At 37.1% G+C, this 23,065-nt stretch overlaps 1 pseudogene across 1 annotated transcript in view, besides 2 other annotated features; it reads right to left on the reverse strand.

Annotated features, from left to right (window-relative positions):
* Window positions 1-16,061, reverse strand: part of GUSBP3 (GUSB pseudogene 3) — a 71,065-nt pseudogene extending 55,004 nt beyond the window's left edge. The window contains exon 1 of the transcript NR_027386.2: window positions 15,878-16,061. The product of NR_027386.2 is annotated as a GUSB pseudogene 3 (transcript). The remainder of the gene's footprint in view (window positions 1-15,877) is intronic.
* Window positions 15,213-16,029: an enhancer, noted in NCBI's record as "NANOG-H3K27ac hESC enhancer chr5:69005506-69006322 (GRCh37/hg19 assembly coordinates)". NCBI's record gives its function as "activates a minimal SCP1, AML or CMV promoter by ChIP-STARR-seq in naive H9 embryonic stem cells {active_cell/tissue: H9 hESC(naive)}" and the evidence as "EXISTENCE:reporter gene assay evidence [ECO:0000049][PMID:30033119]".
* Window positions 16,030-16,846: an enhancer, noted in NCBI's record as "NANOG-H3K27ac hESC enhancer chr5:69006323-69007139 (GRCh37/hg19 assembly coordinates)". NCBI's record gives its function as "activates a minimal SCP1, AML or CMV promoter by ChIP-STARR-seq in naive H9 embryonic stem cells {active_cell/tissue: H9 hESC(naive)}" and the evidence as "EXISTENCE:reporter gene assay evidence [ECO:0000049][PMID:30033119]".

A 23,065-nucleotide genomic window follows, 5' to 3' on the forward strand; every position in this document is an offset into this window, starting at 1 on the left:
TCCCTTGTAAGTTGGATTCCTAGGTATTTTATTCTCTTTGTAGCAACTGTGAATGGGAGTTCACTCATGATTTGGCTCTCTGATTGTCTGTTATTGGTGTATACAAATGCATGTGATTTTTGCACACTGATTTTGTAACCTGAGACTTTGCTGAAGTTGCTCATCAGCTTAAGGAGATTTTGGGCTGAGATGATGGGGTTTTCTAAATATACAATCATATCACCTGCAAACAGGGACAATTTGACTTCCTCTTTTCCTAATAGAATGCCCTTTATTTCTTTCTCTTGCCTGACTGCCCTGGCCAGAACTTCCAACACTATGTTGAATAGGAGTGGTGAGAGAGGGCATCACTGTCTTGTGCTAGTTTTCAAAGGGAAAGCTTCCAGTTTTTGCCCATTCAGTATGATACTGGCTGCGGGTTTGTCATATATAGCTCTTATTATTTTGAGATATGTTCCATCAATACCTAGTTCATTGAGAGTTTTCAGCATGAAGGGCTATTGAATTTTGTCAAAGACCTTTTCCGCATCTATTGAGATAATCTTGTGGTTTTTGTCTTTGGTTCTCTTTATGTGATGGATTACATCTATTGACTTGCGTATGTTGAACCAGTCTTGCATCCCATGGATGAAGCCAACTTGATCTTGGTGGATAAGCTTTTTGATGTGCTGCTGGACTCGGTTTGCCAGTATTTTTGTTAAATGTACTAAATGCATTTTTTACCTAAAATATTTTCAACTTATGAGTATATCCAGATCCATCATAACACATCTTGGCCTGTGGTTATCAGGATGTAACTCATTATAAGTCGAGGTAGATTTGTATTATATCCCATGTACACACACACACACACACACACACACACACACACACACACACAGACTTAATCTGTTTACAGAAATAAAAGGAATAAAATACCGTTTCTATTATACACCAAAACTAGCCATCTTGACAGATACTTCACTCTGAAAAATAACGTTTTATAGCTACTTTACAGATTAGTATAATAATTTGGTGTTTCTGTTTCAGAGATTCGATTTCACATTTCAATAAGTAGGCCGCTCCCTCTGCTAAGCCTGGGAATGTAATTCTTTTGAAAAACTATCTGTGCTGTAAAATTACATGTCATATTGGGAAAAGGACAATCGCAAACAGTAGTCACACATAAAATCAAGCAACACAGACATCCTTTTCACATACAGTGAAGACCCTTGTCAATTTTGAGATTACACAGGAAAACAGAATGGGGGACAAGTGTCTCTGACACATAGAAAATCCCGTGAAGAAGAACTCAGCTGACACAATCAAAACATACACAAAACTGAAAGAAACAAGGTGAGTGCTTTTTATATTAGTTCAGCTGTCAAGAAAGTGTAAAATAAACCTAACATTTTTTTACTAAGTGAGGATTTTCTTTTTTGAAACATCATCATTTATATTTATCCAGTTTGCAACTTCATCAGCTGAATCTCAGGATGCGTTCCATGACACTGAAGGACAATTAAATCATATCCATGACAATATATGAGAAGCTGACAGGAGAACATGGTGGCATTTGAATTAATGTCTATCATTAGATAGAATTTCTGATCACATAATTTAAGTTGTAGTTTTCCATACAATTTAATCAAGATAAGCACTTATTAGGTGAGTGATATACTTTGGCTCTGTGTCCCCACACAAATCTCATGTTGAATCGTAATCCCCACGTGTCAGGGGAGGGGTCTGGTAGGAGGTGATTTGATCATGGGGGTGGATTTCCCATACTGTTCTCGTGACAGTCAGTGAGTTCTCACAAGATCTGATGGTTTAAAAGTGTGTGGAACTTCCCCCCGGCTCTTCTCTCTACTGACACCATGTGAAGAAGGCACCTGCTCCCCCTTTACCTTCTGCCATGATTGTTAGTTTCCTGAGGCCTCCCAGTCGTGCTTCCTGTTAAGCTTGCAGAACTGTGAGTCAATTAAACCTCTTTTCCTCATAAATTACCCAGTAGTTCTTTATAGCAGTTTGAGAAGAGATAGATACAGAAAATTGGTACCAGAGAAGTGGGGCATTGCTATAAAAATACCTGAAAATATGGAAGTAACTTTGGAACTGGGTAACAGGCAGAGGTAGGAAACAGTTTGGAGGACTCAGAAGAAGACAGGGAGATATGGGAAAGTTTAAATCTTCCTAGAGACCTGTTGAATGGTTGTGAACAAAATGCTGATAATGATTTGGATAATGAAGTCCAGGCTGAGGGGGTCTCAGATGGAGATGAGGAACTCATTGAGAACTGAAGAAAAAGTTACTCTTGCTATGCTTTAGCAAAGAGACTGACAGCCTTTTGACCCGGCCCTAGAGATCTGTGTAATGTTGAACTTCAGAGAGATGATTTAGGGTATCTGGTGAAACAAATTTCTAAGCAACAGACCTTCCAACATGTGGCCTGGCTGCTTCTAAAAGTTTATGCTCATGTCCATGAAGAAAGAGATGGCTTGAAACTGAAACGTATATTTAAAAGGAAAGCAGACCATAAAAGTTTGGAAAATTTGCAGCCTAACCATATAGTAAAAAAGAAAAACCCACGCTCTTGGGAGAAATTCAAGCAAAAATTTGCATAAGTAAAGAGGAGCCAAATGTTAATGGCAAAGACAATGTGGAATACGTCTCCAGTACATTTCAGAGACCTTTGAGGCAGCCCCTCCCATTATAAGCCTGGAGGCCTAGGAGGGAGAAATTGTTTAGTGGGATGGGCCCAGGGCCCTGCTGCTCTGGGCAGCCTCGGGACATGGTGCCCAGTGTTCCAGCTGCTCAGCTCCAACTGTGGCTAAAAGGGTCCAAGGCACTACTCAGGCCATTGCTTCAGAGAATACAAGCCTCAAGCTTTGGTGGCTTCCACATGAGGCTGGGCCTGTGGTTGTGCAGAAGGGAAGAGGTGAGGTTTGGGAACCTCCATCTAGATTTCAGAGGATGTATGGAAATGCCTGGATGTCTAGGCAAAAGTCTGCTGCAGAAGTGGAGCCCTTATGGAGAACCTCTACTAGGGCAGTGCAGAGGGAAAATGTGGGGTTGGAGCCCCCACACAGATTCCCCACTGGGGCACTCCCTACTGGAGCTTTGAGAAGAGGGTCATAGTGCTTCAGACCCCAGAATGGTAGATCCACTGACAGCTTGCACAGTGTGCCTGGAAAAGTCACAGGCACTCAATCCTAGCCTGTGAAAGCAGCTGTGGGGGCTGTGCCTTGCAGAGCCACAGAGGCAGAGCTGTCAAAGCTCATGGGAGCCCAGATATTGCATCAGTATGCTCTGGACGTGAGAGATGAGGTCAAAGAAGATTGTTTCAGAGCCTTAAGATTTAATGACTGCCTTGTCGGGTTTTGGACTTGCATGGGGCCTGCAGACCCTTTGTTTTGGCTAATTTCTCCCTTATGGAATTGGAGTGTTTACCTGATCCCTGTACCCCCACTGTTGTCTTGAAATTAACTAACTTGTTTTTGATTTTACAGGCTTATAGGCAGAAGCGATTTGCCTTGTCTCAGATGAAACTTTGGACATGGACTTTTGAGTTAATGCTGGAATAAGTTAAGACTTTCAGTCTGTTGGGAAGGCATGATTGGTTTTGAAATGTGAGAAGGACATGATACTTGGGAGGGGCCAGAGGAGAAATAATATGGCTTGGCCCTCTGTCCCCACCCAAATCTCATCTCAAATTGTAATCCCCTCATGTCAAGAGAGGGGCCTGGGTGGAGGTGACTGGATCATGGGAGCAGATTTCCACATGCTATTCTCATGATAGTGAGTGAGTTCCAAGAGATCTGATGGTTTAAAAGTGTGTGGCACTTCCCTCCTTGTGCTCTCTCTCTCCTGGTGCCATGTCAAGAAGAACCTTGTTTCCCCTTTGCCTTCCACCATGATTTTCTGAGTTTCCTGAGTCCTCCCATTCATGCTTCCTGTAAAGCCTGAAGAACTATGAATCAATTAAATCTCTTTTCTTCATAAATTACTCAGTCTCAAGTCATTCTTTATATCATTGTGAAAACTGACTACTACGGTTAGCAATCTTAAAGAATACTTGTGATTTTGAGAATCAGGCACATATTTTTTTAATAATCGGACTGCTTATAATTGTTTAACTCCTTGCAACTTATAGTTAGTGCCTAAAACTTTGATGACTTTCATTACATTTCAATGGCTCTGTTCCCTTATAGCAAACTACCTTTTTTACTGTACTTACTGTAACTACAGTGCATTTATTTTCAGCCCAAATAGTATTCAGTAATAAGCATTTCTTCCCACATAAGAATAAGTTATATTCCTATTCACTATATTCTAGAATTTCTATTTTCCTTCCACAGTGCCAGCTAAAATTAAAGTGGAATAATCTATTGGGGCCCTGTGTATTTAATGTTTGTTTTCTTAGTATATTATAAACACTGTGAAGGAAGGAAATCCTTGCCTCTTGTTTATACTTTTATCTCCATTATAGAAACACTCTGCATTATTTTCTTACTGCTGCTGTAGCCAATTACTACAAAGTTAGTGGTTTAAAATAGCACAAATATAGTGTCAAACAATTGTGTTTGTCAGATGTCTGCAATGCATCTTATGAGGCTAAAATCAAAGAGTGAGAACTGTTGTGTTCCTTTCTGAAGGTTTTAGGGGAAAATCAGTTTCCTTGACTTTTCCAGCCTCCAGAGGCTGTCCTGATTTGTTAGCTTATGGTCTTTCATTTGTTCAAACCAGAAATGCTGTGTCTCTCTGACCATTCTTTTGAAATCATACCACCTTATGTTTCTAGCCAAGAATGTTTCCCTAGTTTAAACCCATTTGATTACACTGAACTCAAAAGGACACTTTTTCATCTTACCATCCTTAACATTATAATACTTGCAAAGCCCCTTTTACCAGATAGTTAACATATTCACAGCTTCCAGAAATCAGGACATGCGGTTTTTTTTTTGTTGGTTTGTTTGTTTTGTAAACCATTATTTTGCTTACTATACTGTCTTAATTGGAGGAAGCAACTTCTTCGAATAGGTGAATTAATTTCAAATTGATAATGTGATTCTGAATGAACATTAAAGAAATCAACTATTACACCGAACATTACTTTATTGAGCTAAACAAATATTAACTGACTATATAAAATTCATTACACATTTGGAGATAGAATTTTGTACTCTTTAATAAGACTTTTTACATTTTTTGCAATCCTTTTTCTTATTTAAAAAATCAGTACTGTATTAGTACCCACAATATAAGTTTGTTCTAAGAATCAAATGAGATAAACATTTCAGACACCTATCATAGTATCAAGTTCATATCGTAAGCCTAAAATACCAGATGACTTTTATTATTTTCAGAATGTAGTCAAAATCAACATAAAGTTACATTAACACTTGGTTTACTGTATCATAATGCTAGCTTTGTGTCATATCTATCTAGAGAGTACACTGAATAGCTTAAACCAAGTAGAAGGTGATTTCTTGCTTACATAACAGTTTACCATAAGTAATTTTGGCTAAAGACGCATCTTTCCTGCAAAAAATAATTCAAGTTAACGAAGGATCTACTATTACCAAATTGTATCTTCCCAGATTACTTTGTATATATCACCATTCCAGAAGACAAAAGACTACTCATGAAATACAATTTGCACACTTCTTTATATATGAAAAATTCACTTTTCTTCCCTCTGTAAACAACTTAAAGTTTTGCCCAGTTACTGCCTACAACTTAGAGTTCAGGATGTTTCATGACGTGCAGTTCTCTCCCTCAGGCCACTATATGACTTAACGAGGACTAGTGTCCTATAAAGTCAAAAGACAAATTATCTGTAAAATCTAAGTTACCATGGTGAAGCTCCTATCAGAAGACAAAGAAGTCTGCAGAGCACTGACAAAAATATTTCTGAGCAGTACAAATATTTATTTGATGAAACCATAAACATGTCCTGTGGAAATAACTTTAAGGTCCATTGTCCCTGTGGCTCATAGATTTACTTTCTGAGGTAATTTACATTTTCTCTTATTCTCCATGCCTCCATCTTAAATTAGAACAATGAGTGTTTTCTCAGCATGACTAATCAATTGCACTGATTAGTGCAATTTGGGATGCTTGAGGATATTTTAAGCCTTAATTTTTTTTTCTCACAATAGGCTTATTGTACCTTTGCCAAGTAGTTACGTGGAAACCATTTATTTATTTATTGGATCTAGTTTATAACCAAACATACAGTTCTTTCCTAGGTATAATTCTAAAGTCTGCCTCATTTCCTTCTTTTTTCTCCTCCCCAACACACATATGCTTCTCTGACTGTAAAGATGACCACTTTAAGGTCATTTGAAATCATAGACTTGAAAGAGAAAACAACTTCCCTGATGAGTTCTTTGCTTCAGGGCTGGGTTCCTTGTTTTTTATGAACACAGTAGGATTTAATTTCTGAGCAGCTTTTTCAACCTAATCAGAAAAACCTGAGCTTTTCTGTCACTGTATAATTCCACCATTACTAGACTTTTTGTTTACAAGTGGTTTCCAACAAGGAATGACTTTGTTTCCATAGAACACTTGTCAGTGTCTGGAGACATTTTGAATTATAATGATTAGGTGGTGATGCTACTGGTATGTGGTGGTATAGCCTAAAGATACTATTAATATCCTACAATGCAAAGAATAACCTCCCACAGAATGCAGGAATATCAGGCATAAAATGTCAATAATGCTAAGGTTTAGCAACTCAACTCTATCCACTTTCTTTCCACTCTAAAGACAGGATATTTCTTTTTTCTTTTTTTTTTTTTTTTTTTTTTGCCTGTGTTTATCTATTTCTTGGATTATGGAACAGAACAAACATGAACACATTACCTTTTGCCTTTCCTCATTTCCCACACTCTTTCCTAGAGGTAATATTAAGCTTCCAATTAATTTTAGATGGTAGTTTCAATAATTTTTTTTCACTGGGTATTACAAGTCTTCATTTCAACCCTCTGAGTTTGGTTTACTTGTCCATTTAATACTAATTTAGTGGATACGTTTTAGGTGCTGTTATGGCAGACCCAACTCAAGCTGGTGATTTCTATATTACTTGGAATCGTGCTAGTTGCTTTGACAACTACACTCAACAACATATAATATCTTAAACAGAACAGAAGTTTCATTCATATAAACTGTTTTTTTAAGATAGGAAAAGCATTGCTCCTTTATGTCCGCATTCAAGAACATAGGCTACTAAGGTATTTAATCTGCAGTATGTTGCTTCCAAGACTACTGTAGAATTGGCCGTTCCAGTCAAGCATACTGAAAAACGTATACAGAAGAGTGCATGTTGGGATTTTGGAGACTAAATTGGATATAAAATATGTTATTTCTACTAATTTTCCACTATTTTGACTTTAATCCCATGCCCTAATATAAAGTATATAAGAATGAGAAACATAGTTTATGTATCTATCAAAATAGAACATAAATGTTTGTGAACATTTGAATCTGTCAGCTTCTCTTGCTCACGTGCCTGTAGTGCCTGTACTCAGGATGCTGAGGCAGGAGAATCGCTTGAACCCAGGAGGTGGAGGTTGCAGTGAGCTGAGGTCACACCACTGCACTCCAGCCTGGGCAACAGAGCGAGACTCCATCTCAAAAAAAAAAAAGAAGTGACTCAACTGATTGATGTGTAAAACCTCATTGTAAAATAATGTTCTGTAAATGAGACATTAATACAGTTAAATTTTTGGATTAAAAAAGTCTGCCACTTTGTGAATATGTTTTATTTAGGCTTGATTTAGTTAATTTTCTTTTTTCTTTTTCTTTTTCTTTTTTTTTTTTTTTTTTTCTGAGGAGTTTCACTGTTGCTGCCCAGGCTGCAGCGCAGTGCTGGGATCTCGGTTCACTGCATCCTCCACCCCGCCAGTTCAAGTGATTCTCCTGCCTTAGCCTCCTGAGTAGCTGGGATTACAGGCACCCACCCACCACCATACCCGGTCAATTTTTTGTGTTCTTAGTACACATGGGGTTTCACCATGTTGGCCAGGATGGTCTCGAACTTCAGACCTCAGGTGATCCGCCCACCTTGGCCTCCCAAAGTGCTGGGATTACAGGCATGAGCCACCGCACCCAGCCAGTTAATTTTTCTATTAACTAAGACCTAATTAAGATTGAGGCAGAAGAAATGGGTCCTTGGGATTTGAAAATTACTATTCAATTTGGAAGTTTAATTTGCAACATAGATTGTCTGTTATTAAATTACTAGATATAATATCACAAAGGTGGAAAGAAAGGTTGCTTAGTTAAAGATCTAAGTTACTAGTCATGGTGTCAGATATAGAGAATGATTGAAGGTTATCAGAGTCACACACCAGATGAGTAAATTGTTGTTTTCAAGGAAGAGGTTACATAAAGGTAAGCGGAGTAATATTTCAGCATTTTTGTTAATTAAAAATTTGTAAAGTTATTTCCATTTCAAGGAAATTACTCTCAGTAATTTTACGGGTAAAATGACAAATTCCAAGTTTAATTTTCTCATGTAACACCCTCCTTGAGCACTTATTTTTATAAAGCTATTAATCTATTTTGGTCTCAATTTACCTTTCTTTAAAGAGATTTTAAAATTTTCTGAAAGAAGTTGACATCTGGAAGTGTAGCTGTTATATTTTTCCATTTTTAATTACATATTTAATTATCCTTTAATTACTTAAGGTTATTCTCAAAAGTGAAGAGATAGCTGGGATCACACTGCGTAAGATTTTACTCCTGAATGTAATATTCAAAAATGTTACAAAGTCTATCAAAGAGGTTTTCATTCTGTGACAATACATGGTCAATTTGACATGGTCAGGAAGCACCACCCCCACTGAGAGATACCAAATTATGGAGTAAACCACCGTAATTTAGGCAGATCTTGAGAGAGAAAATGCTGAGTGGATGCAGAGGCAGCAATGAAGCTGAGCTGAAGAGGGAGGAAGCCTGTGCAGGGAACCCAAACACTACAGCTAGTTCCCCAGAATGGCTCCTAGGAAAGGGCCTCTGCCTGAGAGAGACCTGTGGCCTAGAACACCTAACACAAGAAACACAGTGATTGCAGGAGACTCCCCCAGGGCCCAGGAGCACATCTGGTGATGGAGGCATCTCTCCCACCCCCACTATAGAGCACACCTGCAAACAAAAGGAAGTATAAAACAGCCATGCCACTGGGTATTAGGCTAGCCACTGGCCATCACTCTTAAGCACTATGCATTGGATCACATCCCAAACTACAACATCAAAATTTATCCTGCTACATATACACCTGTGAAACCAAACACAAGAATTACTCATACATAAAAATCCTGGACAGAGAAAGCCCTGACCCTTTGAAAGCATCCAGAAACAAAACCAATTGCCTATACTCAACATACACTACAGTTAAAGGAACACTAACCCTACCAGAAGAGAAAAAATCAGTGCAAGAACTCTGGCAATTCAAAAAGCTAGAGTGTCCTCTTACCTCAAAATTAGCCCACTAGCTACCAAGCAATGGTTCTTAATCAGTCTAAAATAATTGCAACAGACATAGAATACAGAACCTCGATGGCAGGGAAGCTCATGAACATTAAGGAGAAAGTTGAAACCCTAGCCAAGTAATCCAGTAAAGCAATCTAAGTAAGTGCTGAAAGATGAAATTGCCATTTTAAACAACAGCCACACTGAATTTCTAGAGCAGAAAAAATTCAGTATAAGAATTTTATAATACAGTAAGAAATATTAACAGAAGGTAGGCCAAGCTAAGGAAAGAATCTCAGAGCTCAAAGACTGGTTCGTTGAATCAACTGAGTCAAAAGAAAATTTTAAAAAAGAATTAAAAAAAGAAAATGAACCAAAGCTTTAAGAAATATGGAATTATATAAAGAGACCAAATCTACGACTCATTGTCATTCCTAGAAGAGAAACAAAGAGAAAAGGCAACTTGGAAAATAGATTTGAGAATAGAGTCTATGAAAATTTTCCTAACCTCGCTAGAGAGAGTGACATGTAAATCCAAAAAATACAGCAAACCCAGCTAGGCACTATAAAAGGTGACTATCCCTAAGGCACACAGTCATCATATTCACCAAAGTAAATACAAAAGAAAAAAAAAATCTTAAAGGCAGCTAGAGAGAAAGGTCATGTTTTCATAAAGCAAGAACTCCACTAGGCTAGTAGTAAATATCTCAGCAAAAACCTTACAAGCCAGAAGAGATTAAGGGCCTATGTCCAACATCATTAATGAAAATAAATTCCAGGCAATAATTTTATATTTCACTAAACTAAACTTCCTAAGTGAAGAAGAAACAAATTTCTCCTCAGATAAGCAAATACTGAGGGAATCAATTTCAACTTGACCAGCCTTATGAAAGGTCCTTAAGGGAGTGCTATACATTGAGTAAAAAGAATGACACCTGCTACCACAAAAACCCACTTAAGTACATAGCTCACAGGCACTATAAAGTATCTACACAATCAAGTCTACCTAAAAACCAGCTACAAACGTGATGATAGGATCAAAATCTCATGTATCAACATTAACCATAAATGTAAATAGGCTAAACACCCCCACTTAAATGACATACAATGGCAAACTGGATAAAAATGCAAGGCTCACCATCTGCAGTCTTCAAGAGACTCACCTCATATGTAATGACAGCCACTGGCCCAAAATAAGGGGATGGAGAAAATCTGCCATGCAAATGATAACAAAAAAGCAGGAGTAACTATTCTTATATCAGATAAAACAGACTTTAATCAAAATTAAAAAGAACAATTGAAGAATGAAGAGCATTATGTCATGAGAAAGTATATGATCAAACAAGAATACTTAAGTACCCTAAATATAAATGCACCCAACATGGAGCACCCAGATTCATAAAACAAGTTCTTTTTGGACTACAAAAAGACAGACGACCACCCAATAACTGTAGGAGACTTCAACACCCCCGCTGGCAGCACTGGATCATCAAAGCAGATAACTAAGGAAGAAACTGTGTACTTAAACTTCACCCTTGACCATCTGGACCTAATAAGACATCTACAGAACACTCCACTCAATAACCACAGAATATACATTCTTCTCATCTGCACAGGGAACATATTCTAACATTGACCACATGCTTGGTCATAAAGCAAGTCTGGATAAATTTTAAAAAATGAAATCATATCAAGCACACTCTTAGATCTCAATGTAATCAAAATATAAATAAATACCAACATCTCTCAACACTACACAAATAGATGAAAATTAAACAACTTTCTCCTGAATAACTTCTGTGTGAAAATCAAAATTAAGGGAGAAATTTTAAGAAAGTGAAATTAATGAAAATGGGAACACAAATTACCAAAATCTCTGGGATGCAGCTAAATCAGTGTTAAGAGGAACGTTTAAATGCCTTTATCATAAAGTTAGAAATACTTCAAATTAACAATCTAACACTACACCTAAAGGAACTAGGGAAGAAAAAAAAAAGAACAACCCTACATCAACGCTAGGAATGAAAAGAAACAACTAAAATAGAGAAGATCTGAATGAAATTGAGATGCAAAAATCCATACAAAAGATTAATGAAACCAAGAGTTGATTTAAAAAAAGAGATTGATAGACCTTTAGCTAGATAAACAAAGAAAAAAAAGAGAAGATCTAAATATATAAATCAGAATGACAAAAACGACATTAAAAATGGTCCCACAGACATACAAAATAATCCTCAGAGAATACTAGGAATAACTCTAGACACAAAAATTAGAAAATCTAGAGGAAATGGATAAATTTCTGAAAACAGGCAATCTTCCAAGATTGAATCAGGAAGATACTGAAATACTGAAGAGACCAATATGAAGCTCTGAAATTGAATAAGTAATAAAAAATCTACCAAGCCAAAAAGCCCTGGACTATATGGATTCACAGCAAAATTCTACCGGAAGTATAACGAAGAACTAGTACAATTCTACTGAAACTATTCCAGAAAAGTTGAAGAGAACGTACTCCTTCCTAACTCACGCTGTGAAGCCAGAAGCAGCTTAATACCAAAACCTGGCAGAGACGCAAAAAAAAAGAACATTCAGGTGACCACTGTTGACGAACATAGACTCAAAAATTCTCAACAAAGTACTAGCAAACTGAATCCATCAGCAGCATATCAAAAAATTAATCTACTATGACAATACAGGCTTTATTCCTGGGATGCATGGCTGGTTCAACATATGCAAATCAATAAATGTGATTCACCAGATAAACAGAATTAAATCAAAAACCATATGATCATCTCAACGGATGCCGGAAAAGCTTTCAATTAAATCCAGTGTCCCTTCATGAAAAAACAAAACAAAAAAAAACCCTCAACAGTTGAGGCTTCAAATAAGCATACTTCAAAATAAAAAAGAGCTATCTACAACAAACCCACAGCCAATATAATACTCAATGGGCAAAAGCTGAAAGCATTCTCCTTTAGAAATGAAACAAGCCAAGGACATCCACTCTTACCACTCCTATTCAACATAGTACCAGAAATCCTAGTCAGAGCAATCTTGCAACAGAAAAAGAGAAAAGCACCCAAATAGGAAGTGAAGATTAAGGCAAACTATCTGTCTTCACCCAACAATATCCTTCTATACCTAAAAAACCTTAAAGACTTCAACAAAAGTCTACTAGAAATGATAAAGGATTTTAGCAAGGTTTCAGGATACAAAATCAATGTACAACAATTAGTAGCATTTCTATACAACAACAACATCCAGGTTGAGAGTTAAATTAAGAACACAATCATATTTACAACACCTAGGATGAAAATAAAATCCCTGCAAATACAACTAACCTAAGATGTGAACGATCTCCACAAGGAGAATTACAAAACACAGCTGAAATCTGAAGCTGGATGCAGTGGTTCATGCCTTTGGGAGGCCGAGGCAGGTATATCGCTTGGACCCAGGAGTTTTGAGACCAACCTAGGCAACATAGTGGAACCTCATCTATACAAATTTTTTTTTTTTTTTTAAATAGCGAGGCATGGTGGCACATGCCTGTAGTCCTAACTACCCTGACGGCTTGAGGCCAGGAGTTCAAGCCTGCAGTGAGCTATAATAACTCCACTGCATTCCAGCCTGGGTGAAAGGGTGAGACTCTGTCTCAAAAAAGGAAGGAAATAAGAAAAGGAAGGAAGGATGGAAGGAAGGGAGGAAGGGAGGGAGGGAGGGAAGGAAGGGAGGAAGGGAGGGAGGGAGGGAGGGAGGGAGGGAAGGAAGGAAGGAAGGAAGGAAGGAAGGAAGGAAGGAAGGAAGGAAGGAAGGAGATTTTGATAACACAAATAAATGGAATAACATTCCATGTTTACAGATTAAAAGAATCAATATGTTAAAATGGCCACACTGCCCAAAGCAACTTGTAGATTCAAGGCTATCTCCATGAAACTACCAACATCATTCTTCACAGAATTAGAAAAAACTATTCTAAATTTATATGGAACACCCCCAAAAGCCAGAATGGCCAAAGCAATTCTGAGCAAAAATAATAAAGCCAGAGAGGCGTCATACTACCCAATTTCCAGCTATACTATAAGTGTACACTAACCATGATACTGTTACAAAAGCAGACACTTAAGCCAATGGAACAGAATAGAACACTCAAAAATAAAGCTGCACACTTACCACCATCTGGATCGTGGACAAGGCCAACAAAAACAAACAATGGGGAAAAGGCACCCTATTCAATAAATGGTGCTGGGATAATTCGCTAGCCATAAGCAGAAGAGTGAAACTGGATGCTTACCTTCCACCATACACACAAATTAATTCAAGATGGATTAAAGGTTAAAATGTAAGACTTCAGATTATGAAAACTCTAAAACAAAACCTAGGAAATATTTTTCTCGACATTGGCCTTGGCAAATAATTTTTGGCTAAGTTTCTAAAAACAATTGCAACAAAAACGAAACTGACAAGTGAAAGTCAATCAAACTAAAAAGCTTCTGCACAGCAATAGAAACTATCCACAGAGTAAACAGACAACTTACAGAATGGGAGAAAATATTTGCAAACTATGCATCTGATAAAGATCTAATATAACAAATCCATAAGGAAGAAAAAATGACAAGCATAAAACAACCCCAGTTAAAAAGGGCAAAGCTAATACAGGAGCAGAAAATCAAACTCCGCATCTTCTCACTTATAAGTGGGAGCTGAACAATGGGAACACATGGACACAGGGAGGGGAACAACACACAATGGGGAACAACACACAACACACACTATAATTTTCTGTAGGGGGTTGAGGAGAGGGAGAGCATCAGGAAAAATAGCTAATGCATGCTGGGCTTAATACCTAGGTGATGGGTTGATAGGTGCAGCAAACCACCACCACACACGTTTATCTATGTAACAAAACTGCGCTTCCTGCACATGTACCCCAGAACTTAAAATTTAAATCAAGAAAAGGCAAAGGACATGAACAGATATTTTCTCAAAAGAAGACACTCAAGTATATGAAAAAACACTCATCCTTACTAATCATCAAATAAATAAATGCAAGCAAAAACCACAGTAAGATGCCATCTCACATCAGTCACAACAGCTATAATTAAAAAGTAAAAAAATTAGATGTTGGCCAGGCTGCAGAGTAAAGGGAATGCTTATACACTACTGTTGATGGAAATGTAAACTGGTTCAGGTACTGTGGAAAGTATTTTGGAGATTTCTCTAAGAACTTAAAACAGAGATACCCTTCGACCCAGCATTCCCATTACTGGGTATATATTCAAAGGAAAATAAATTATTCTACCAGAAAAATATACATGCACTCGTACGTTCATCAGCATGTTATTCACAATAGCACAGACATGGAATGAACCTAGGTGCCCATCAAAGGTGGATTGGATAAAGAAAATGTGGTACATATACACTATGGAATACTATGCCTCCATAAAAAAGAATGAAATTATGTCCTTTGCAGCAACATGGATGGAGCTAAGGACATAATCCTAAGCAAATTAGTGCTGGAAAAGAAAACCAGATACCACACATTCTCACTTATAAGTGGAACCTAAACACTGAGCACACAGGAACATTAACATGGGAACAAGACATGCTGCAGGCTACGGGGGTGGGGGAAAGAGGGGAGCATGGGCTGAATAACTACCTACTGGGTACTATGCTCACTACCAGGGTGCACTGTACAAAAGTAACAAATCTGCATATGCACTATCTGTGTCTGAAAAAAACTGAAATTATAAAAACCAAGAGAATATGTTTCTAATGAACGTAGACTTTATTTGATGGACTGGATTAGAATATAATTTTTTTTAAGGGGAAAGGCATTGGGGGATGCACAATGTCTACAGGTTTCTAAACCTCTCTGGTTTCTCACCTAATTCATAGTCTCTTATGTCATTTTCATAGTTTTCATATTCTGCCTTTCCACCTCTTCTTTTTAACAAGTAAAATTCCTCATAGCATACAAAAAAACAATTTTATAAAAAACCCATATTATAGATCAGGGACCTGTGGATTATATGCTATTAGAACTATACAAAATGTCTCTATATAGTTTTCTGTATCTTTGGAATATCTTTGGGTGAAGCTGCAGACCTTCTCGGTGAGTGTTACAGCTCTGCGCAGAGCCAAACAGTGAGCAGCAGCAAGACTGCAAAGAGCAAAAGAACAAAGCCTCCACACTGTGGAAAGGGACCCTAGCACGTTGCTGTTGCTGGCTCTGGCAGCTGCTTTTATTCCCTTATCTCACCCCACCCACATCCTGATGATCGGTCCATTTCATAGAGAGCTGATGGGTTCATTTTACAGAGAGCTGCTTGGTCTGTTTACAATCCTTTAGCTAGACACAAAAGTTCTCCAAGTCCCCACCAGATTAGCTAGACACAGAGCACTGATTAGTGCGTTCACATACCTTGAGCTAGACACAGCATGCTGATTGGTGCATTTACAATCCTCCAGCTAGACGTAGTAAGTTCTCCAAGTACCCACCGGACTCAGGAGCCCAGCTGGCTTTGCCTAGTGCATCCCGGCCGCGGGCGGAGCTGCCCGCCAGTCTCTGGCGCGCTGCCGCACTCCTCAGCCGTTGGGCGGTTGACGGGACCGGGTGCCGCGTAGCAGGAGGTGGCGCCCGTCCCCTCGGGGTGGCGCGCGGGAGCCTGCGGTTGGGGGGCGGGGGGCGGGGGGCGGGGGGCAGGGGACGGGGGCGGGGAGGAGGGTGAGGGCTCCAGCATGGCAGGCTGCAGGTCCCGAGCCCTGCCCCCTTGCCCCGCGGGGAGGTGGCTGAGGCCCAGCGAAAATTCGAGCGCGGCGCCGGCGGGCCATCACTGTTGGAGGACCCAGTGCACCCTCCGCAGCTGCTGGCCCGGGTGCTAAGCCTCTCACTGCCCAGGGCCGGCGGCGCCAGCCGACCGCTCAACAGTGCGGGGCGCGCCGAGCCCGCGCCCACCCGGAAGTCGCGCTGAGCCCGCGCCCACCCGGAAGTCGCGCTGGACCTGCGAGCACCGCAGGCAGCCCAGGTTCCGGCCCGCGCCTCTCCCTCCACACCTCCCCGCCAGCAGAGGGAGCCCGCTCAGGCCTCAGCCAGCACAGAGAGGGGCTCCCACGGTGCAGCTGCGGGCTGAAGGGCTCCTCAAGCGCGGCCAGAGTGGGCTGAGGCCGAGGAGGCGCCGAGAGCCAGCGAGGGATGCCAGCAAGCTGTCACCTCTCAGAAATACAGGAAGAACATCAATAATGTTCGAAGTTATAAAGTAGTAGGTTTCTATCAAGAGTAAAACATAAACGAAGTTATAAAGTAGTAGGTTTCTATCAAGAATAAAACATAAACGATCAAAGAATTCCTTATAAAAACATTTTTTATTTCTAGGAATCAAAACATAAATATAAAATTTGAGAGTCCACCAAAAAAAATTAGATGCCAGATTTCACTATAATTATCAGGGAAGCGCCCAAATGGGTTGTTTACGGCGCCTCGGGGAAACTTTCTGTTTCGTGTTAAGGGTCTTGAACCATGATGTTTAGAAAACCATGGGCTGATGCTTTCAGAACCTCTGTGATTTTTGCCTCTGACACTGCATCCAATAGACTAGCATGTTGATTAGGGAAAGCTAAATTCAATAAAAGACGACTGTAAGTGGGGTCACCACCTTGAGGGGTCATGTTAGAAAAGTAGATGATAAGGTGGTATTGATAGAGTATTGAAGTCTGGGCTCAGATGGTTGCCCGGGGCCTTTCAAGACCAATGACTGATAAGAATAGGTAATGTTCAGGACATAGAGTTTAGGATTGGGGGACACTGTGAGTTAAGGGCCATGACAGAAGTCTTCATAAGTAAACTGTTAATTGACACAAGCTGCTACCTGCCCAGGTGAGCAATCTGTTGGCCCAGAGGAGAGTTGCTTACTGACATAAATTGATTTGCAGAAATTTCCTGAAGCAAACAATAAGTTATTTATTGGTTTGCAGCCTTACTTTCCTGAAAAATAATTTTCTGGAATGAATTGTGAAATCATGTTGACACAGATGGCCTCAGGTTTCAGTTCGGATAATTAAGCTGTGTAAATATAGAAAGTCGAAGGTTTCTGGGTGCTGTTGATTCACAGTATGCAACAATGATCATATTACTTTTATTTACTATGAGCTTCAGCTGAAAATCCAAAAGAAACTTTAATTTCAGATATTTAATGAAATCATTATAGCTGTGGTAATTTCCTTTAGCTGGGTGTGAGTGTGTGATGTGAGCGTGTGATGTGTGTGTGTGTGTGTGTGTGTGTGTGTACTCTGGCAGCATATTCCAAATAATTTCTGTAAAATTTCAGTTTGAAATTAATAGAAGACATATTAAATTGTTTAAACTCTTTGTTATTTAAATTCTATATTACTTTAGTCGATTACTCTGTATTATTACGGCAAAGCTTTGATATGTTGCCCTGAATTTAAATGAAAAGGCTGTTCGGCCTAAAAACAGGAATATTTTATTACCAAAAAGAATTAACTACCATATGTCATTTACAGAAAAGAGTAAATTCTTCAGGGCATAGAAAATACACATTTCCTTCTGTTTGTGTGGAAATAAGCAAAATACCTGTTATAATAGATTCCTCACAGAATTTTGTGAAGCTTCAGGTAAACTTGAAAGAGAAAAATTAAAATGCTAGAGTTTCATAATTACAAATTGGGATATAAAAATAGAATAATTATTTGAATTTTGTATTTCTCTCCAGGGGATCAAAAGTAATATATAAACTTTTAATAAATATTGATATAGCTTCACGTTGACTCCATATGTGAGCAATTTGCTTTCTGTTAAATTCACAATTGCATAATTTTTTTCAGGCTGGAATGCACTTGGATGCCAGAGATTTTGATTTCTTCATGTGACATAAGATGATAATACATTCCAAAGTATATATTTTTTCAACTTTGAATATATCTGGTGTATTTGGAGTAATATCTGAGTAAATACACTTATATGTAAGAGAATCAAAGGAACAAGATATTATTTTATATCCAAGGAAATTAACACTTAGAACATAAATACGTATTGCATTACTTCATATTAAAGAAATGTTTTACAAAAGAAAATAAAGGAGCTTATTTTATAGCCCCATTTCCACAAATAATAGCAAAGGTACATACACATATCTAATGTTTTACACACTCATTATTGTTTCTCTTAAAATTTGTTGCTTATACTATTTTAAAAGGCAAGCCTATAGATTGTTGTGTGTATATACATATACACACAACATACATATGTGTGTGTGTGTGTGTGTGTATATATATATATATATATATATATATATATATATATATCAGCAAGCAAGAGAATGGGCCTCTTCCTACTGAGGTTTAACATTTGCATGTATATGTATATTTTGATTCACATAGACTTATTGTTCTTTAATTACATGAACAGTGATTCCTGGTTACATTATTGGAAAATGGAAGCAATGCTCAAAGAGCATCACCTAAATTTCCATCATATTTTGCTCTCAATATGTTTTGTACATCCAAATATATTGTGATTAATCTGCATACATTTTTGCTGTTCTAGGTGACGCTGGTATGAGGCTAGGTAATACACGACCTTAGTCTGCATGTTGTACTTGTGTAACACACATAATTTTACAGTGCTAACAGGTGCTATAATAACTAACTATAGTTAATGATGAATGAAAGAAGGAAGATGTTAAGATGTTAGGGAAGGACTCAAAAGATGCAGTGCTTGAGTTAGAATTTTAAGGGAGATTATGCAAAAGCAGTCACTTAAGGTGGGTCGGGATGATCTAGAATGTGGGAATGATGTATGCAAAGTCACACAGGAGAGATACAGCATGCATGTTTAGAAAATTGTTGATTACATATGGAAAGTTTGCAGGACTTGCATCCTAGAATGTCAGGATTTTAAGCTAAGTAGGGTTCAAATTAAATTTTTCACATACTTCGCTGCATTATAATAACTAGTTTATGTTTAACTCATCCACTAAACTAAGTTATTTGAAAAGAGATGCCAGTGTTCACTCAATCTAGTTGTCTGTCATTAATAATTTAAAAATAATTGAGATTTTAATTTTGGTCTGCTAAGCCTGTTTAATTAAAATTTGACATTAAATAAGATTTTACAGGCCTCATTTTTTTTTTCAGTCATCACAGTTTGAATATTAAACATTACTACTTTTATCTCCCTCAGTCAGCATAAAACATACTACTTATGGTTTTAATAACCAAATTCAATGAGCACCAACAAAATTTGATGTAACTATTAACTTTGAAATTTTGTTGAAATAGAACTATGCCTTGGGTATCATTCAAAGCATTTAATTGTTGCAATAAAAAACTTTGAGATAAATTGAAATGATGGACAATATGGGTCGAAAGCAACACTGGCTTGAGGGAATAGGCTAATGTTTGAGAACAGAATTGTTAAGGACAAGATTGGATGTTTATATTACTTTAGGAAAGACACACTCTAATGGAGTTTAATTCTAAAATGTTTAATATTATGAAAATATTATATGTTATATGATCATTATAGAAAATTAAAAATATAAGAACATCAGAAGCAAAATAGTCAAAGTCTACCTAAACCCAATTAGAAGTGAATACTATTAATCTTGATTTGCATGTTTCTAATCTTATTATTATCAAATTAATAAACAGCTTTCAGATATTCTGCTTCTCCCTGTTACTAGATCAGGATAATGTCATTTATGTACAGGCATCTCCTGCTTACTCAGTTCAGCATTGATCAATAAATATTTTAGACTTCTATTCAAAACACTTCCATTTTTCTTTTGCCCATATTCTTTTTATTCAGTGCTGCCTGTTTTCAAATACACAACACTTTGTCAAACAAATTCCAACATTAGATTGGATATAGTTGGTATCAGAGTAGTAATACACATTGCCATTCCTAATCCTCAGTGCATTGATCCTGAAAATTATTTGTAAGAATAGAAAAATACTGGATATTTCAAATTAAGTCTCATTTTGTTGCTTACCCATGAAAGACTGGAATTAACCAACATAACCATTACAAGGTGATTGAGCAAATGAATAGATGGAAAATATTATAGAAACTTTACTGCAGTTCATCAACCATTGTGGTCATTAGGCCATAGGAAAATACAGTGTGACAGTACCCCTGTCTTCTTTTCCATTTGTTAAGTCTCATATCCAAGTAACAGTGGGTAGACCTTATGAGAACCCAAAGTGAGATAAAAATAATTTTTGGCTTTTCAATGTATCTTATTTGATCTAAGAGGTATTTCCCCGACTTTGATGCAATAATTCTTGTCACAAAATTTGACTTTACTGAAGACCGTTTTAAGGATCTTTGCAGCTGACAGCAGTGACTTTTTTACCTCCTACAAAGTTTCAACTGACAGTCTTATTGTCTCTGACTTTCCCAAATTAATGACATAATTAGTCACCAGGGCTTTGGCTGCTCAATAGGGATTTAGTAAGCAATGAGTCATATGTTGGGGAACACTTCAACAAACAAAATGTTGGCAGAGAAAGATGTATGAATCAGCTAGGAAGAAACACTATTCTATCACTGAGGATCTTTCTAATATTAGATATCACAGAAAAATTTTCATATAGATTACCATATGAGTGAGCCAAAACCTCTAGGAACAAAAAAGCTTAGTATAATTATAACTCCTTGCCATGATTTAACTTAAAATTTCTTTACTTATTTAGCAATTCTATAAACAAGAATCATTTCTGTTAAGGATACTAAGGAGAGTGTTCCTATTGAATCAGAACATTTAAAAGAAATAATTGAGGGAACTCACACATGTAAAACGTCATTAACCAAACTAAAATAAAATGTGAGGGCATAAACTTAACCAGAAATGTTTAAAACCTATATATAAAAAAAACTAGAAAACACTTCTGAATGGCACAAATTTGGACTTGAGCACGGGGAAAGAAATTCCATGCTCTTGAAAAAGCCTTAAAATCATAAATGTGCCAGTTCTTTAAATAAACTTATATCTTCTGTGTCATAACAAAACGACATTTTCTAGAATTTCTTTTTCCAGATTTAGAAAAATAGACAAATTTACTTGGAGGAATAAAGAAGCAAGAATAGCTAGAAATATCCTATAAAATCAATGGAATTTGGAGTCAATACAAAATATTAAGCAATTCTTAAAGCTTCTATGATTAAAATGAGTTATAACTACAGATAGATGAAGATCATATAGAAAATCAAGACATTGACAGATATGGAAAGGTGGTATATAATGAAAACATTTCAGATCAATGAGGGGGAAATGTTAACCGGAAAAGAATATTAAAAAGGCAATGAACTCAATAAGACAACAAGAAGCAAACCACAGAAAAATAACTGGACTGGATTAGAAAGAAAATATTTTAGACACTTCAAAAATAAAATATTCAAATAACCAATGAACTTATTAAAAGGTTTTTATTTATATTGGTTACCTGAAAAAATAATTCAAACCACAATGAGATGTAAGTACTTGTCATTCAGAATCCTGAATTTGAAAGGAATATTTTAGAATTCTAAGTTGAAGAGAAAGTGCAAAGTATTGATGAGAATGTTGACTAATTAGAACACTCAAATTGATGTTATTGGCATAACTTAGTTCAAATAATTTGGATAAAGATATGTATTAGGCCCCAAAATTCTACTTGTAAAGATGGTTTCTCCAGAAATGCATGCATATATATAGCTAAAAAAAATGTGTACTCATGAAAACACTTTTCAGAATAACACCAAAATAACCCCAAACTGTGGCCCAAAAGTGGACTAAAATACTTATAAAGAGTACAGTAAACAAATAAGTTGTAATATGATCACCTAATAAAATATTAGAGAAATAAATATAAATAGTTTCATTTGCAGGTCATATAGTCAATTCGTCTCACAAATATAATATTAAGCAAAAAAATGTGGTTCAAAACACTACACACACTATTTGATTCCTTACTGGTAAAAGTTAGAATAGTGTTATGTTAGGAGGGATGGGTGGAAATCAGGTGTGTGACTATTACATTTTCTTATTCTGGATGATCATAGTATTTTAAAACTCACTAAGCTTTAAACTTATGTGCATTTACCCATGTGTATACAATACTTTAATAGAAGCTTCAAATCAATGAGAAAACATGAAACTGTCTGATGGAAAAATAGCTTGAGGAAATGAACAGGTATAGCAGAAAAGAAGGGCTGCATATAGTTTAAAAACTTGAAGAGATGTTTAATCTCTTTGCAAATAGAAAAACATACGCATTTAAATTGAAATACCATTTTCATGTTCCAAAATTAAAATTATTAGAAATATGATGGTATACAGTGATGGTAATATGGGAGAAAGGAAACATCCTAGGCAATTTGGCTAAGCTTTTCTGAGAAAGATTTAGGCAATATGCCATTAAAAGATTTAATGTGAACAAATGGGAAATTTGCCCACATAAATAAATGGAAAGATACTCTATTTTTCCTAATTTAATCTGAAAATACCTAAGCCCCTGATATTTTAGAGACATAATTTTCACTGCGATGGTCATAATTTTAAAAGGTTGCATCATCCATTTTTAGTTAACATATATTGTACTAACATCACAT

Source organism: Homo sapiens, chromosome 5 (genome assembly GCF_000001405.40).
Source record: "Homo sapiens chromosome 5, GRCh38.p14 Primary Assembly".
NCBI classification, from domain to species: Eukaryota; Metazoa; Chordata; class Mammalia; order Primates; family Hominidae; genus Homo; species Homo sapiens.